Genomic DNA, 17,734 nt, shown 5'->3' on the forward strand with positions numbered 1-17,734 from the left:
ACAGTTCTCACTTAGTCCTGTCTCCTCTGTTGGTCTGTTTTGCTCCCGACCGTGGTTCCAGGACTACGAAGGCAACAGAGGGGCGTCACGTGTTCTGGGTGTGCCCCGACACCCCATGGGGCCCCTGGGACACCAGGGCAGCCTGGCGCAAGAGAGGGTCCCCGTCATGGGATGGGGCGGGTGGGGCTGGGTGGTGGGTACTTGGGGCAGGGCCTGCGGGTGCTCCCTAGACCACCCTCACTGGGCAGTGCCTTCCGGAGAGTGCAGGGGCGGGCCCAGCAGCAGCAGGAGGTGTCCACCATGGGCTTCAGATGCAGCCACAGGCTTGGAGGCCAGAGCTCATAAATGACGAGGCTCTGGCCTGGGCCGCGGAGTCTGGCCCAAGGAGAAGACACAAGTCACTTTCTCTCCCTCAGCCCAATTCCCAGCCCCCCATGGAGCTGGGAGAACAGGGGTGGCTTCTTCCTCCTCCACCTCGGCTCCCGAGTGCTGCTTCTCCTGGGACTTCCGACATGGCTCCCTCGTCCATCCCCATCTGGCATTGCCCTTAGGATGTGGGAGGGGTGCCCGCTGCCCCAGACCTTTGCAGACGATGCCCTGGTTCTCTGGGTAGCACATCAGCCCATAAAGCATTCTCCACGCTGACCCCACACACCCCCCGCAGGACCCTCAGACCCCACGCTGACCCCACACACCCCCGCAGGACCCTCGGTCTCCACGCTGACCCCACACACCCCCGCAGGACCCTCGGTCTCCACGCTGACCCCACACACCCCCGCAGGACCCTCGGTCTCCACGCTGACCCCACACACCCCCACAGGACCCTCGGTCTCCACGCTGACCCCACACATCCCCGCAGGACTCTCGGGCTCCACGCTGACCCCACACACCCCCGCAGGACCCTCGGTCTCCACGCTGACCCCACACACCCCCGCAGGACCCTCGGTCTCCACGCTGACCCCACACACCCCCGCAGGACCCTCGGTCTCCACGCTGACCCCACACATCCCCGCAGGACTCTCGGGCTCCACGCTGACCCCACACACCCCCGCAGGACCCTCGGTCTGCACGCTGACCCCACACACCCCCGCAGGACCCTCGGTCTCCACGCTGACCCCACACACCCCCGCAGGACCCTCGGGCTCCACGCTGACCCCACACACCCCCGCAGGACCCTCGGTCTCCACGCTGACCCCACACACCCCCGCAGGACCCTCGGTCTCCACGCTGACCCCACACACCCCCGCAGGACCCTCGGTCTGCACGCTGACCCCACACATCCCCGCAGGACTCTCGGGCTCCACCTCCTGCTCGGCCCAGCCGCATTCCCCAACCACGGCAGGGTCTCCCCAAGACAGAGCAGCCAAACAGGCCCACAGCAGGGCTGGGGGCTGCAAGCCTTGCCTGGGGGCAGGGGCTGGGCTGGCCTCACAGTTTTAGGGAACGCCTTATGGTCCCTTCCTGGGAAGAGGAGGGAGGGTGTGGCAAGTCAGAGGAGGACACATCTGCCCTCCTCTCCCCAGCCCACCCTGTACATGGGGACTCCGGAAACCACCGCCAGGCACAGAATAGACCTGCCGCACTCAGGCCCACCCAGCCCCTCCTTCGATAGGCCCCCAGCCCTGCTCCTGCCGGCACCCGCCTTGTGGACGTGTGTCACCTGGGGCTGGCCGCTGGACCGAGGCCCCCATTCCTGGCCCCTAGGCGCCCCTGGGTCTCGAAGGGAAACGGCTCAGCCCAGGGCCCCAGCACCAAGTGAGCCCCAGCCCCCGTTGCAGAGCAAGCCCACCCGGAAAGCGCTAGCCCAGGGAACAATGCCCTTCGTGTGACAGACTTTCCCCTCTGTGAGAGAAAATAGAGTTCAGTAGAATGGCAACTTCCTGCATTTGTGCCTGTGCCTGAAGGGGTGATTCACGCACGGACCTCCCACAAAGACAGCCCCCACACCGCGCCCCAGCCAACACCGCCAGGCCCAGTGTCCCAGAGCCTCCCCGCTCTGCCAGCCCCCCGGGGCCGGGCCAGGGCCCACTGCCCTTCCAGGGAGCCCCTGCCTTCTTCCTAGGCTTCAGCTCCACACCCAGCAGCCAGAACACACGCATCAACACAGCTGGTGTAAATCACGGAGGGCTTCCTGAGGAGCCAGGCACAGGGTGCTTGGGCACTGAGGGGCTGTGGTGAGGGCAGGCTGTGGGTGCCCAGGCAGCAAGGGTGGGGTGGGAGTGGTGGTCATGGAGCCCACAGTGGCTGGGGAGTGGGGGGTGTCCCTGGACATGGGGAGGCCAGGGAGGGCCACTGTACAGGGGCCATGGCTGCAGGTGCCCAGTGCCTGCGGGTCCTGGAAAGCATGTGCTCCTGAGTGAGCCCAGAGCCCATGGGACATCTGACCTGCCAGGGGACAGTCCTTCATGGTAAAGGAAACTTGAGGGCACCCCAACATCTTTCCCTTCTGGAGAAGAGAGGTGGAGGGCAACATCTCAGTGGGAGATCTAAAGAAGGTGCAGGAGGAGTCAGCGGAGGTTCCTGCCAACCGAGGCATAGCTCCTCTGCACCCCGCCCCCAGCTTCCGGGAGAATCCACCCAGCTCCAAATCATTGCTCTGAGGGCCCAGCCGCCGTCAGTCTCTCCCCAGCTCTGTATACAACCTGTGTGTGGTCCCCAAGCCTGAGGAGCTCCTGCTACCACGAGGCAGCCTGGAACCCGCCCCCAGACCACTGCCCTTCCTGGGACCACTTGCCTCCTGGTCTCTCTTGGGCAGAGACCCGGCCAACCACCCTGGGGCCTCTGGTCTTCAAGGTTCTCACCCCCTCCCCTCTTCCTTCCATCCCCCAAGTCTCCCCTTAGGAGTCTCTAGCACACAGAGACTGTGGGACCACCCTGCCCCCGGGGGACACACATGCCCTCCTCTGCCACCAGGTGAAGATGGCTGTGACGAGGCTGTGTGCAGACATCCTGACGCAGGAGCCAGTAGACAATGCCCAGCTGCCCAGCGCTGGCCCCGCATCACACTGGCATCGTGCCCAGGCAGCCCCAGCTCTGAGGCTCCTCCCACCCACCACCCAGCTCTCTTACCTCCATCCTTCCCAGCACCCCTGCGTCAGTCAGGCTCTCCCTGCTGCTGTGCCTCCTCCCCTCTCTATCCTTCACCTGCATTTCCCCAGCTGAATCGCACCTGCATGGGATCCTGGTGTCCTCTTCTCAGAGGACCTGAGCTCACACAGGAGACTCAGATTCAGGGCCCTGTTCCATTTCCTGGGCTGTGTGCCCTCTGGCTCCTTATGCCAAGGGCTGCCTCCCCACTTCTCTGGTTCATAGGCAGCATGGCATGGCTCCCCAGAGTGCCCCGGTTCGTGCCAGGCCCTTCATAAACACGTGCTGCTGCTTGTAGAGTGCCCACTAAGATCTGGCACCTCCTTTCACCTGTGTGAACTCCCCCAGGAGCCTCAGAGGCAGGGAAGACTTGTCCAAGGGACAAGCAGCTGGGCTGGGATGGCCATTGGCTTGCTCTCATCGAGTTCCCGGGAGGAGCTGTAGGTGGGAATGCTGAAAGCCATGTGCACGTGGCCCCCAGGCCCACCGTGCCCGTGAGCTGGAGGGTGGGGGACCTCCTGTCCACCTGGGGCCCACTGTGCCTGTGAGCTGGAGGGTGGGGGACCTCCTCTGCACCTGGGGCCCACTGTGCCTGTAAGCTGGAGGGTGGGGGACCTCCTCTCCACCTGGGGCCCACTGTGCCTGGGAGCTGGAGGGTGGGGGGCCTCCTCTCCACCCGGGGCCCGCTGTACTCATGAGCTGGAGGGTGGGGGGCCTCCTCCCCACCTGGGGCCCACCGTGCCCGTGAGCTGGAGGGTGGGGGGCCTCCTCTCCACCAGGGAAGGCTGCCTCCGCATCTCCCACACTCTCTTGCTGACTTCCCTGGAAGCTCTGTCCAAGGAAGTCCAGAAGGAGGAGGGACAGGCCATGTTTGTCCGTCAGTGGCAACTTCAGGTGATGATGGTGGTGGCGGACATGGGGACAGAAAGAGGCAGTGGTGATGACGGCAGGGACGTCAGCAAGAGGGGGTGAACCACTGGCCCAATCTGTGGGGACACGGCAGCAGTGGGACCTGGCTAGCACCCCCCCCAACCCCACCTGCCGGCTGCCTCTTGCAGCAGGAAATTGATTTCCGGCTTGCCAGACTCTCCTCTCTACGTTCCTGCATCCCCTCCAAGCTGTTCGCATTAAGTTCTGCTGTTTGAAATCCCCGCGGTGGCTTCCGTTTGCTGATTGAGTTGGCCTGAGTCAGGGCCAGGGCTTTGCTGGGAAGGCACCCAGGGGGTCTCGGAAAAAGGAACTGCAGGAGACCCCAGGGCACATGGTGGGAAGTGAGCAGCGGCTGTGGCCATCCTGCTCCAGCTGGTTCAGTGGCCTCGAGTGCCATGGGGAGCTCTGGTGGGCACCGGTGGGCTGTGGCACTGGTGCCAACTCCCCCTCCCACCAGCTCCCAGAGACCCAGCCCCAGCTACGGGTGAGCTTACAACCGATGGCCAGCCAACCAGGGTGCTGTGCTGGGCGAACCTGTGGGGCCTGGTGAATGGGCAGCGTGGAGCACAGGGGAGAGAGGACGAGGGGGTGGAGACGGCCTCAGATGGTCAGGAGCGCCGCAGGGCCCCCGTGAAGGAGGGATGAACCCTGGCCGCATCACTCCCCTCCCAGGCCTCAGCCCCTCTTCCCAGCCCACGGTCCTGGGTGGGCGTCTTCCGCATGGGAGGCCGTGGGCGCTGGGTTTTCACGACCCTGAAACTTGAGCCTGCCCTCGCTCTCTCTGAGCCTGTCATCCAGCAGGGAGCAGAGGAAGGCTGCAGAGCTGGGAGGGGCACCCTCTGTCTCAGGGTCTTCCTCCTCCTTCCTCCACCCGCCCCCAGCGCCGCAGGATCTGGAGGCGGGAGCCCCGCCCTCACAGTGTCCCCCTGGAGGGGACATCCCGCTCCTGCCCCCGCCCTGCAGACCGCACACCGAGCCCCAGCCTCACTCCCCAGCCCCCGGGAGCCCCGAGCCAGGTCTGCCGTCGCCTCTGACCCCAGGCTGGGCCGGCCTCCTCGTCTGGGCCTCGGCTCGGAGGGTTTCCTGCCCGCCCGCTCCTAGCCTGGCAGGAAGCGGACACCTCAGAACAAAGGGACCGGCGGACAATGGCCATTGAATTGGGCCGGGGCGCTCGCGCAGGGACAGGCCGCCAGCTGCCCGCGCTGATAAGACCCTCCCCGCGGCGCCCGGCGCGGGGGCTAATGCCCGGCTCGGCCTTCCCTCCTTCGCGGCCTGGGCCTCGGCAGGTGCGGCCGGGACTCGGGACCGCAGGCCGGGAGTGGGAGGCTCAGCTGCGGCCTCAGGGGGCCGTGCCCGCCCCGCTGGGGACTAAAGAGGAGCCAGCGCCCGGGACCAATCCCAGGAGCGCACCGGGGAGCCACCCTAGCACCTGCCCCCCGACCCTGCCCCGCGGTCTGACCCCCCCTTGGATCTGGCCCCGCCTCTACCTCCCCCGACGAACTGAACCCCCTGGGATCTGGCCCTGCCCCTTGCACCTGACCCTGCCCGGAGATCTGAACCCCTAGGATACGGCGGGTCCCGCAGTCTGGGCCCTCTATGATCTGACCCCGTCCCTGCACCTGACCCCGCCCTGGGGTCTGGGGGTCCGGCCCAAGCCCTGGGCAGGCGGGGTCGGGGTGGGGGGCGAGAGTATGTGGGGGCCAGACTCTACCCAGCTGCCTGAGAGCCTGGCCCTTGTGCACGCCAAGGAAGCCGCGCTTTTAAGAGGGCGTGATGTTTGGTATTTCCCCAAAATGCACCAGACGTCATGACACTGGAGAGCCTCAGGGCTTGGCTGCGTTTCCTTCGCATTGTTTTGGACAGAATGACAGCCAGGGAGGGCTGGCCACGTGGCTGCAGCATCTCCTGGCTTTCTGCAGGGTTCGGTCACTTGCTGTCCCCAGGGGCAGCCTGGGCCTCATGCCTGTGTATGCGGCAAGGGGACATGGGGTGGGGGGGGTCTGCTCCAAGGAACATCCTCCCCAGCTGGGCCTCAGGGCAGGGCCATCGGGAGGGAGAGGCCACATTCCTGCCCACCCCCCACCCCCCTGGACTCTGCAGGACTGTCCGACAGCCTCCGAGTCCTCGAGGGCCATGTTTCCGGAAGACTCTCCTTGAAGACTCTACCTCCTCCCGAGGCCTGGGGCAGCTCTGTGTTGGCAGAGACTGAACCTAGGACCAGTGAAGAGGCGGCTCCCTGTCCCCCATCCCCAGGCCTGAGCACCCAGGGAGATCAGGAGTCAGCGCTGTGCTGGCTCCAGAGGGCTCAGGGGCACCACGTTCCCACTCGAATCTGGGAAGGCTTTGTGTGGGCAGGTGCAGAGCTGTCATTAGGGCAAGGGCCGGGAGGGGTTGGGGTGTCTCAGCGTTTTCCCGCAGCAGCCTGGCACCTGGCTGCCCCAGGATTAGATAATCACACAGGAGGGGTGTGGCACTGGGAGGGGTCAGGGGCTGGGGGCTGAAGGAGGAGCAAGAACTCAAGGTTTGGGGAAACTGAGGCAGCCCCTCTCTTCTGGGCAGGATGAGATAGCCCAGGCCCACTTTGGTCTTGGCAAGCCCCAGACAGACGTCCAGCCCATGGCACTTCTTGCCATCATCTCTACCAGCCACAGACCCCTCCCTCAGCAAGCCACTGGCCAGGACAGGGATGACACAAGGTGAGCAGAGTCAGGACAAAGAGACACTTGCCAGCTGCAGAGGTCCCAGAGCAGGTTCTGGCCCAGCCATGGGGGTGAGGGTGGCAAGGAAGGCTTCTTGGAGGTGGCACTTGGGTTGAGTTTGCCAAGGGAGGAGGTGACAGAGGAAAGGCGTGACAGGCAGGGACAGCGGGGCATAGACCCCAGTCAGGGGAAAGCCGGGTGCTGACAGGGAGGGCAAGGAGTCCCAGGGGCACAGGTGGGGACAGCAGGAGCTGAGGCCATGCTGGACCAGGGACAGGAGCAAGGCTCTGGAGTGGCAACCTGGAGGCGGTGGCAAGCCATGGCAGGGCAGGTGGATAGTGGTGACTGCTTATTTGCTGGGGTCCCCAGGAGTCAGGTCAGGTGGGGGTACCAGGGAGAGGGTGCTGGGGCTGTGACCAGAGCTCTAGGGAAGCTCCCCTATGCAGGTCCTACAGGACCACCTTGGCAGCGGTGGTGCTGAGCATGATCACCCTGGGCCCCTGCTGGTGGGCTGGGGTGGTGACCACAGTATGCCAGAAATGCTGGGGTGCTGCAGGCTGCCTTCTGGCTCAGGGGCTCTGAGCATCGTTGCCCAACCAGGGCCCCGCCATCCAAGGAGCCAGCCCCAGAGTGCCCTACCATGTGCTGTGAGCACCCCCCTCTCCTGGGTACCCCTGAACCCTCTCCGAAGCCTGGTCAAGTGGATACCTGCCTGCCACACCCTCCTCCACCTCACTGGCCTGGCCCTGGTTGTGGCCCTGCTGGGACCACCGTCTCCACTCCACCCTGATCCATAGCCCTTCTGTAGCCTCCTTCCTGTGTGAGCAGAAGCTTCCTGGGTCTCCCTGCACCCACTGGGACAGATCCTGCACGCCCCCGGTGCTCAGCCACGCAGGTCATGGCGTTTGTGCATTCTGTTTTCTGAGCCATCCAGCCCAGGCGGTGGACACCGGCGTCCAGCCCCAGCTCTCAGGCCACAGGAAGTGGGAGGTCCAGCGGCTTCCATTCCTGCCCTCGATCAGCCCTTGCTGCTTCCTGCGGCCAGGCCCCCGCTGGCGCCGGGCGGCCTGGTGAGCAGTGACTCATCCAGAGCCCAGCACCCGAACATCCCACTCCCGGCTCTCAGCAGAGGACCCCGTCCCCACCTCACCCCACCATCTGGCCTGGGCTGCAGGACTGCCACCGCCCAGCACACACCTCCTCCTCAGTGGCCCTGCACCTGCTCCCACCCACCGGCTGGGGGTCCTCCACTATAAAGAGCATGACACCCCAGCCTCAGGGGACTCCAGCCCCCCACTCTCAGAGGCCCTTGCTGTCCCTGGCTGTGGGGCTCTGCCCACCTCTGCCCTGCTCTCCCTACCTCTGCCCTGCTCTCCCTAGAGCCACCAGCCCTGCCGTCACACACCCTCTGTTGCCTGAGTCCTAGGTTGGAAGGCCTACCTACCTCTACACCTGGGACCTTCTGTAGCCCATTTCAGCCGGCCAGCCCCTCCTCTGGGAAGGCTTATGGGCTCCTGAGAGCCCTCTCAGCCCCGCCTCATTGAGGCTGCCTCTCCTGCCTCCACCCCATGGACCTTGTCTTTGAGCTTGGTGTGTCCCCAAGGCAGAACTCACCCTCCAACCCCATCCTATTGCGACCCTCGCCCAACTCGCCTGGAGACACTGCACCGGTCAGGATGAGAATGGAAGTTGGGCCGGAAGTTGGGCCGGGCAGCAGAGAAAGCTCCGAGGAAGCTCCCCTGTGCAGGGTGCCCCGACCCCAAATCCAGGTGGCCACCCCATTTAAGTGACAAAGGAGCTAGCTGCCTCAGTGGACTCCTTCCCTCCCTAGAGGCCTCCTCTCCCATCGGCGAGGCTCCTGCCCTCCTCATGACACTGTCACACACGCCCAATACCTGCAAGAGGGCTGCACCCACACAGGCACTGAGGGCCCCTCAGGCTGCCACCCCACACAGCCCACCCAGCTGTCCCGCAGCGCCTCCTGATGGCCAGGGCCCGAGGGGCCTCCCCCAGCTTGCAGAGCCTGCGAGCATCCTGTGCATGGGTATGTACAGATGCACCTGTCCCCCAGTGGCCATGTGACCACCACACCCCTCCCCTTGGTGGGCTGGGAAATACTGTCTCTGAATAGCAACCTCCCCGGGAGCCAGGCCGGGACACACCAGCCCAAGAGCGTGCCCAGGGCCCTCCAAGGCCACCAGCAGGCTGCTGAGCCCTGATTTTCACCTCCCAGGATCACATCATCCCAGGCTCTTCCAGCCCCAGGCCCTCCACACATTACAGGCCCCTAAATTTGGCCCCACCTGAACCTACTCCTTTCCGCTGTCCCCCTCCCCTAATAACAAATCCCTGCTGAGACCTTCACCAGGGAGCCAGTCTCATCTCCTCCTCCACCCACCTCCCGGCCCCACCCAGGGACACCCCCATCCTCTGGGCCCTTCTCCATCCCCTCCCCAGAGTGCTCCAAAATGGAACTAAGCATGCGCTCTGCTCACAGCCCCACAGCCCACCCTCCAGCAGCTGGCAAGACCACTTCTCCTCTGCCGGCCGGCCGCTGCGCCTCACGCCCTGATTTCCCTGCACAAACTTGTGCCTATGGATCTTGTTGGGGAGGGGGTGGCTCGAAGCGCATCTCCCCTACAAGGACAGGGGCGCTGGCCTGTGGGCAGCACTTCCCGGTTCCCTGCTTCATCCTCGCCGACTCTGCGCACGCACTTGGCTGTCAGGCTTTCTCCACGCTTGCTGAGTGAATCCATGAACAAATGCATGAGAAACACGCATTTTCCAGAACCCCACGTGCAGCTGGAGGGAATGCTCCGGTCAGGGATTTGTGGGAGGGGAAGTCCGAAGGGGTGAGGCCTGGAGGGTGGGCTGTGTGGGGATGGCAGCCACTCCCCATCCTCCGGGCGCCGCGGGGGCAGAGCACAGAGACAGAAGCTCGAACATCGTCTCCATGCTGGGTACATGTCTCCCAGCATGTGTGTTCCTGGACCCCAGGCAGGCGAGGCTGTGGCCTGCAGGTGCTGACCCTAGCTCAGCCTCAGCCCACAGTGCCGCCTCCACCTGCCAGGTTCTGTGGCACCTGCAGTCCGGCCCTGCACTGCCGCCCAGGACCCCCACAGCGGCCAACTCAGCTCAATGGGTGGGTGGTCAAGGCTGGAGCAGAGCCATGGGGGCCAGCCCCCGAGGTGTGCTGGCGGCCGGGTTAGGCTGGGGTCATTTTCCCAGGCTCCACCAAGGCGGGTACCTGGCAGACAACGTTATTGTCCACAGGGAGGCAGCAATGACTCAGTCGGGCTGGTGCAGAGGCCCCCGGCCGCAAAGGAAAGGAGGGTCCCCACATCGTCTGGCAGAGTGGGCACTGCCTCCCCTGGGCAGGTGTGACTGGGCCTTCTGCCCGGCCTCCTATCCCAATCTCAGTCCAGCTAGGGCCTCCTGGGCCTCTGTGGTCCCAGCTTTGCTGTTAAGTGGGTACATGTAACGCTCCCTCCCTGCCTGTCAGCGGGCCTGAGCTGCGGGCACTTCCCCAATCGAGGCCCCCCGGACTGCTCAGGAGTGCCCCGACCCCAGCTGTGGCTCCTCCCTGTCCAGGGTGAGCTGGGGTGTCAGTCCTGGGGGCATCAGTGATGGAACAGAGTCGGGTTGAGGTCAGGGTTGGGTCCCCCAGCCTAGCGCCCCTGACTTCACAGTTCCAGCCGTGCTCATTGTGTGGGGACAATGGCTTCCTGAGCCAGGTTCCTCTCCGGGCAGGAAAACCACACAGAACCTCCTCTTTGCCTCCGCCCACGGCCCCTTTGAAGGGCCTGGGCCAGCCTCAGGCACTGACTGCAGCCTTGGGGCCTGCCCCCGGCGCCACCTCTTACCAGCCTAGCCCAGGCCCCGGTCTCCCCAGGGACCTGCCAGTCCTCCAGACACGTAGTACAGGCTGCAGGGACAGTTACTGACGGCCCAGGAAGCCGCCGGCCAGAACCATGCAGGCAGTGGGCTCAACACAGCATCAGAGCTTGGAAGGACGCAGAGTCCTGGGCCCGGACTCCGTACAGGCTGGAGACGGAGGCAACCGACCCCCCTCGGTGCCTCCCAAGAGGCCAGGGTACATCTGCAGGGTGGCTGAGCCCTGTGGGGGCGGACAGCCAAGGGACCCTGGAGGGTGTTGGCCCTGGAGCAGGCGCACCTAGGCTGGAGAGGGCAGAGGGTCCTGGCACTCAAGGCCTGAGAAGGGCCATCTGTCCTCACACAAGACAGGGGACTCGAAGCGGGGCTGCCTCAGGGCGTGTGCATGCCCTGCTTCCCCAGATGGTCCTGGGATGCCCCTGGAGATGCAGAAATTGGGGACCAGTCCTGCAGGGGAAGGCAGGATTGAGGGCTTTCTAGAGTCACAGGTGGCAGGTGGGTCTGGCAGAGCTCTGCACTCTGAGGCCTCCAGCCGTCTGTTCACCTTGCTGGTGAAGGTCTTAGACCCCAGGCAGAGGAGGCTGGGATGTTCAGGCCTGGGGTGTGTCCAGGGCCCCACTAAGGTCTCTGGTGCCAGGACTGGGACAGGGACTGGGATGCTGCAGGGGCAGGTAATCTCCTGAAGCCCCCAAGGCTCAGGGTTACTTTTCCTCCGAGCCTGTCTCCACCGTCTTGGCCAAGGGGTCCTCAGACCCTGAAAGGGAAGGACCGAGGAGGAAGGCGAGAAGGCCTTGCTGTGTGGGGTTGGGGGCCACCAGCCAGGCAGGGCTCCAAGATTCAACAAAGACCTGATACAACAATTAAGAACATAAAGGCATCTTCGTGGCCTCCGGATTCACCAGATGGGGTGCAAGGTGGGCTTCATCACCCGGGAAAAGGCCAAGTGTCCCAAGAACATAAATGTCCGCTTCCAGATGGTGCCGCCCGTGGCCGCCAGGGGGCGGGCCAGCCGAGTCTCCCGGACACACTGGGCAGGCCGGTCCCGCAGGAGCCTGGATCCCGGGTGCCCATCCCTCAGCGGGTCCACGTCAGCCTGCTGTGTCTCGCTACCACCTCCAAGCTCCATGGGAGAACCACAGGGCGGCCCCCACCCACCATCACCCAGCTGTGGGGGCTGGGAAGGGCGTGCTCCACACTCCTTTGCCCGACTCCCTCAAACCAGGGGAGCGGGTGGCAGTCCCTGGTGGCAGACTCAGACTCTAGACAGTGACAAAAGAGCCCCCATTTCTGGCCCCAGGCCCAGCAGCTCCTCATGCAGCAGCCCCTGCCCCACCTGGAACAGGACCAGAGAGCAGCAGCAGGCCTAGAAGAGGGCTTCTGTCAGTGTCTTGGAGGACACTGGGGGACAGACGGTGGAAAGAGGGGCTGGGAGGTGGAGGGAGGGGATGGGGGGGAGGTGAAGGGAGGGGTGGGGGATGGGGAGCAGGAGGCAGAGGGAGGGGTGGGGGCATCCTCAGGGGCTGCCCGGCATCTGCCCTCGCAGAACCTCTCATTCAGTGAGAGACCCTGCAGGTGTCCCTTGCTGCCCCAGTAATGCTCAGCCCAGGCCCAGGATTCCTGACCCACCCTGGCTGGGCTGACCAGGGGCCTGTTTGGCAGAGGGGCAGACGTGGGCAACAGAAGGCACCTGGGGGTTGGGGGAGCCTGGGACTGTCTGCTGTCCCCTATTCCAGGGGCCTGGGCAGTGGGGGGGTCACGCTGGAGTGCTCACCCAGCCTGGCGCTGCCTCACTCCCCGAACTGCCAGGAAGCTCACCTCACTCCCCACTCTGTGGCCGAGGGATGGAGCAGGTGCCAGGTCACACAGCACTGGTGTGGGCTGGGTGACCATCAGGTGCTGGAGTTACCAGACACAAGCCCCCAGACCATCCCTCCCCGCTGCATCTGTGGGGAGTGGCTGCAGGGGCAGGCCTGGTGACTCCTGGGCCCTGTCACAGTGCCCCTGTGAGGAGAAACTACCATGAGCATCCCCAGCCAGGTGCGGTGGCTCACACCTGCAGTTCCAGCTACTCTGGGGGCCGAGGCAGGAGGATCGCTGGAGCCCAGGGATTTAAGGCCAGCCTGGGCAACATAGCATGACTCAATCTCAAAAAGAAATTTAAAAATTAGAAAGATCACCCACAGGCCCACAAGTGTCCGAGGGCTCAGCCACCATGTGGGTGTGGACTGCGGCCAGTTGTCTGCCCCAACCGGGCCCGACACCCTGAGCTGGTCCAGAGGCTCCCGGCCCTCAGCATCTGTGCATCCAGGTGTGGGTCTGGGTACACACGCTCAAGCCCGTGCACATGGTGGTGGGATGGGTGCGAGCAGACGTGTGTGCGGATGAATGTGTGTACGTGTACACGCGTACTGGGTGTGCATGAATAGCGGCCATGTAGGAGGGTGTGGTGTGCATGGAAGGGCACTCACAGGTGTGCACAGGCACACGTACGTAAGGGCATTATGCATTTCTCTGTGGATGGTCACATGCCTGCACACGTGTGCCCCTGAGGCTGCCAGCTCCGTCCTCTCTCTGGCTGGCTGACTCTAGCTCAGCAGCCAGCAGCCAGCAGCCAGCAGCCCACGTGGCCCTCAGCCCCTGCCCTGCCCTCCCCTCTGGCATGCGGGCAAAGGTGACTTGGACTTGGCAGAGGGCAGGAAACTCCAGGAAAGCTCTGTGGCTGCATGAGTGGGCCGAACCCGCCCACTATGCCCCACCTGAAATTGGGCAGGACATGCGCGCTTCCTGCCCACTGGCCCTGAGCGGTATGTGCTGAGCTGGGGTAGGTGGGTGAACAGAGGGGCCTGGCTGGCCTTGGGTCCTGGCCCTTGGTCCCACAAAGTTCCCAGTACACAACACCAAACTCCACACTAGGACAGGGGTCCAGGATGCTCCAAGGATGCCCGGGCATACGTGTGCACTCATGGATGCACGCACACTCACATGCAGATGTGCTCCATCCCCACAAAGGGCCGGCCCCTGGCTGGTGCACGCCAAGCACAGTGGGGGTACACGAGAGGCCTGCGGACTGTGGAAGGCTGGGGAAGTTGGGGTATCCCTGGCAGAGACCACGGCGGCTGGCTGCCAGTCACACTCCCAGCCTGAAGTAGATCTTACCACATCTGGGGACAGCCCCGGGCCATGGGAGAACCTCCAGGGCTCTGCCCCTCCAGTGCCAACAGAGGCTCCCCAGGGCCCAGCTCTGCTTACCCAGGGTCCTTGGGGTTCCTTGGTCCTGTGCCCCTCCCCCGTGGGGCCCGCTGCTGCCTCTGCCCTTGCAGAGCCTCAGACGTGTGGTGGGAGGCCAGGGGCGGGGAGAGGCCATGCAGGTGCCCCCTCCCACCCCAGCAATGCTCCGGCTTTGCAGCCCTGAGCCTGCTGGGGGACCCCTCCCCAAGGCACCAGAAGAGAAAGAGGCCGCCCAGGCCAGCAGCCGGAAGGACCGAGCCCCAAGTAAAACATCCAGCCAGCCTCCACGAGGACACACTGCCAGGGCTGGGGCCACAGCCTTCTGCAGCCCCGACTCCCACTGCCGCCCTTGAGGCCCTGCCCCTGCTCTTGGCAGCTCTGGGCAGATGCCAGCCTGCCTTGAACACTCAGCCCAGGCAGGCAGCTCAGGCCAGTGGGGAGGGGAGTGTCTGGCCCCCTCTGCCACACAGGGAGCAGCAGCTGGGCTGGACCTGCCTGGGGCCCGACTCTGAAGCTGCCAATCCGCCCACCTGCTGGTGCCCCCAACCTCGCTCCAAGCCACAGGGTAAGGCTCTAGGCGCCCACCCAGCATGAGGCAGCCAGCTGCAGAGGGTGCTGGCCACACTCGCTCCTCTTCCCCTGCTCCTCAGCACTAGACAGAGGCTGCTGGGTCATCCGCTGTCAGCTGTGCTGGACATGGGAACTGCTCCCTCTGGCACTTGGAGTCTCCTGCAAAGCACCTGCGCTCAGGAAGGCCTGGAGACAACCAGCGCCCCTGCAGGGACTTGAGGAAGCCAAAGTCAGGGGCACAGATGCCCGGCCTGTCCCTCCCCTGGCCAGCGTGGTCCACACCCATACGGCTGGACCAAATGAGCATGGGTCAAGATTGTGGGCAGGCATGGCAGCCCCTCTACAGTTGGGGTACAGGGATTGTGGGCAGGCATGGCAGCCCCTCTACAGTTGGGGTACAGGGGTGTGGGCAGGCATGGCAGCCCCTCTACAGTTGGGGTACAGGGATTGTGGGGAGGCATGGCAGCCCCTCTACAGTTGGGGTGCAGGGGTGTGGGCAGGCATAGCAGCCCCTCTACAGTTGGGGTACGGGATTGTGGGCAGGCATGGCAGCCCCTCTACAGTTGGGGTACGGGATTGTGGGCAGGCATGGCAGCCCCTCTACAGTTGGGGTACGGGATTGTGGGCAGACATAGCAGCCCCTCTACAGTTGGGGTACAGGGATTGTGGGGAGGCATGGCAGCCCCTCTACAGTTGGGGTGCAGGGGTGTGGGCAGGCATAGCAGCCCCTCTACAGTTGGGGTACGGGATTGTGGGCAGGCATGGCAGCCCCTCTACAGTTGGGGTACAGGGGTGTGGGCAGGCATGGCAGCCCCTCTACAGTTGGGGTACGGGGTGTGGGCAGCATGGCAGCCCCTCTACAGTTGGGGTACGGGCTGTGGGCAGACATGGCAGCCCCTCTACAGTTGGGGTACAGGGATTGTGGGCAGGCATGGCAGCCCCTCTACAGTTGGGGTACAAGATTGTGGGCAGGCATGGCAGCCCCTCTACAGTTGGGGTACAAGATTGTGGGCAGGCATGGCAGCCCCCTGCAGTTGGGGTACAGGGGTGTGGGGCGTGGCCCAGCTTGTTCTCTGGGTCAGGGAGTGAGGTCACTGGGCAGACATCCCTAAGGACTTGGCAAGGAGCCCAGAGGCGGCAAAGGGTCAGATCTCGTGCCCCACCCTCCAACTCTGGCTCAAGGGGATTCCTCCAGGGGGCTCTCCCCACCCCAGCTCCATGGGCTGCAAAGAAGGAGCCATCCAGGCACAGAACAGCTGGACCAAGACAATGGAGCTCAGGGCCGGCTGTGGTGGAGCCTCGGGCCTGACCCAGTCCTGAGCCCCACATGCCCCACCCCCTCGCTCTATGGAGCTGTGCAGACCACTTCTCCCGGGCACCCCCAAAGGTGGACACATGCTCTGACAAAGTCCTGGAGCCCCCAGGACCACTGAGCCCCCAACTGGCTGTTCTCCAGTCCTGTCAGGACTGTAACGTGGTATCCACGGGGTGGTGGCGGCCACCAAACACCAGGTTCCTAAGCCAGCTCGTAACAGCCTCGGATGGCCCTGCTCTGAGCAGGCAGCAGGAGGCGGCGGTGGCTGCTCAGGGCTGGGGTGTGCATGCCTGGCAGGCCCAGCCCGGAAGGCAGCATTCAAGGGGACAGCTAGCAAGCTAAGAATAGTGATGCGGGGCTGAGAGGCTGGGCTCCCCCTTCCCCGAGGCTGCAGCATGGTCTGGTCCTGGCACTGGGAAGGGCCCAGGCAGAACCTGCCCAAGGTGCTGCTGGACATGCTGGCAGGCCCCGTGCAGCTGCAGCGTCACAGCTGGCCAAGCACTGCTTCAGGCCTGTCAGCGTCCAGGCTGGGAGATGTGGCCCCTAAGCCACCTACGGGACTGAGCAATACAGACCTGAATGCCCAAACCCGCGGTTCAGGCCAGCACCCAAAAGCACCTGGCCACTACGGCTGTCTACTCCCGGGCCGCAGCACCTCCGCACCTCGGCCACCCAAGTGTCTGTGCAGCACAGGTCCCCACGGCTCCAGGACCCGGATGCTGTGTTCCACACCGCACCCTCTCTGGGGAAGAGTCTTTCCGCCACCAGCCCAGAGATGTCCCACCTCCCCTCCAGCCATTGTGGGGCTTGACTCTAGCACACTGGTCACCGCCTGGCCCCGCTTGTGCTCCTCAGCCCCAAACCCCAGCCATCCTCTCCCGCGCCCCAGCCCCCGAGCCCCACCCCACCCTCCCCCTTCTGTGATAACCTCCCCCGCTTCCATCCCCAAAGGGTGGACAGCCACTGCCTCCCGGGCCTCCCTTTCCCCTGGCCCTCACCTCCCACCCACCTCTCCACCCCTCCCTCTCCCTCCAGCCTCAGGCGGGCCGTTCAGCCAATATCCTCAACCACCTGTGGGCCAAGCCGCTCATGCACAGGCAGCCTGGAAACCTTCTTTCCTGGCCTCCCGAGTGGAAGTGCCCAGCCAGAGCTGTCTGTCCTGAAACCCCCTCCAACACCCAACTGGCCCCAAAGCAGGTCTCCCGGGATGAGGATTCCTTCCCTCCTGCGGAGCTGCAGCCCACCTGTGCCTGGGGCCCCACAGCCTGGCAAACAGCACCACCAGAGTCAGACGCTGCCCCCCGCCCTGCACCCCAGCACCCAGGCCGAGGGCTGGATCGCTGCACGGCCTGCCTCGCCTGCGCCCCTCAGCTGCACGTCTGGTCTCCTCCCCAAATAAGATCTGGTGGCAGGTTTCACCCATTTCGCCCCCCAAATCCACCCTCTTCGATCTCCAACAAGACCCCCACTCCATGCCACCTGGCTGTCGTCTCTGGCCCGGCCCCAGTGGCCATCTGCTAGGCCGGGAGCCCCTCCAGCTGGTCCTCAGGGTTCCTCTAAGAGCACCTTCTCCAAGCCCCCCATCCTGCGGTCCCACGGCCCACCTGCACCTCCCTCGGGGCCCCTGGGTGCCAGCTGTGGCCCCCAGGCCCGCCCACCCTGGCCCAGTTGCTGCTTCCTGTTACCCCAGCCTCAGTGAAGCCCCTGTGGGCTGGTCCTGCCGTTTCACTTTCTTCACAGCACTCACCTCCCGGTGCCCACACTGCGCTGGGGGCCCAAGCGGGGACTTGTCCACCCGGTCCCCTGTGGCACACCCATGTCCAGCCCAGGCTGATGCACACCCACTCAACAGCTGCTGCAGTAGTTGGGGGGACCTAAAGACCCCACACCCCTCACTCAGGGCAGCCCCTGGGTCTCAGGGGCTAATATCCACAGCCAGGCCGTGCAGCCAGCAGACCGACATGACGGCTGGCCACAGATCGCAACACAGAATCAGACAAGCCTCAGGCAA

The 17,734-nt window shown here is 64.7% G+C and overlaps 3 annotated features.

Annotated features, from left to right (window-relative positions):
• Nucleotides 419-1,200: an enhancer, noted in NCBI's record as "H3K27ac-H3K4me1 hESC enhancer chr14:105658307-105659088 (GRCh37/hg19 assembly coordinates)". NCBI's record gives its function as "activates a minimal SCP1, AML or CMV promoter by ChIP-STARR-seq in primed H9 embryonic stem cells {active_cell/tissue: H9 hESC(primed)}" and the evidence as "EXISTENCE:reporter gene assay evidence [ECO:0000049][PMID:30033119]".
• Nucleotides 4,329-5,110: an enhancer, noted in NCBI's record as "H3K27ac-H3K4me1 hESC enhancer chr14:105662217-105662998 (GRCh37/hg19 assembly coordinates)". NCBI's record gives its function as "activates a minimal SCP1, AML or CMV promoter by ChIP-STARR-seq in naive H9 embryonic stem cells {active_cell/tissue: H9 hESC(naive)}" and the evidence as "EXISTENCE:reporter gene assay evidence [ECO:0000049][PMID:30033119]".
• Nucleotides 5,111-5,892: an enhancer, noted in NCBI's record as "H3K4me1 hESC enhancer chr14:105662999-105663780 (GRCh37/hg19 assembly coordinates)". NCBI's record gives its function as "activates a minimal SCP1, AML or CMV promoter by ChIP-STARR-seq in naive H9 embryonic stem cells {active_cell/tissue: H9 hESC(naive)}" and the evidence as "EXISTENCE:reporter gene assay evidence [ECO:0000049][PMID:30033119]".

Source organism: Homo sapiens, chromosome 14, assembly GCF_000001405.40.
Source record: "Homo sapiens chromosome 14, GRCh38.p14 Primary Assembly".
NCBI classification, from domain to species: Eukaryota; Metazoa; Chordata; class Mammalia; order Primates; family Hominidae; genus Homo; species Homo sapiens.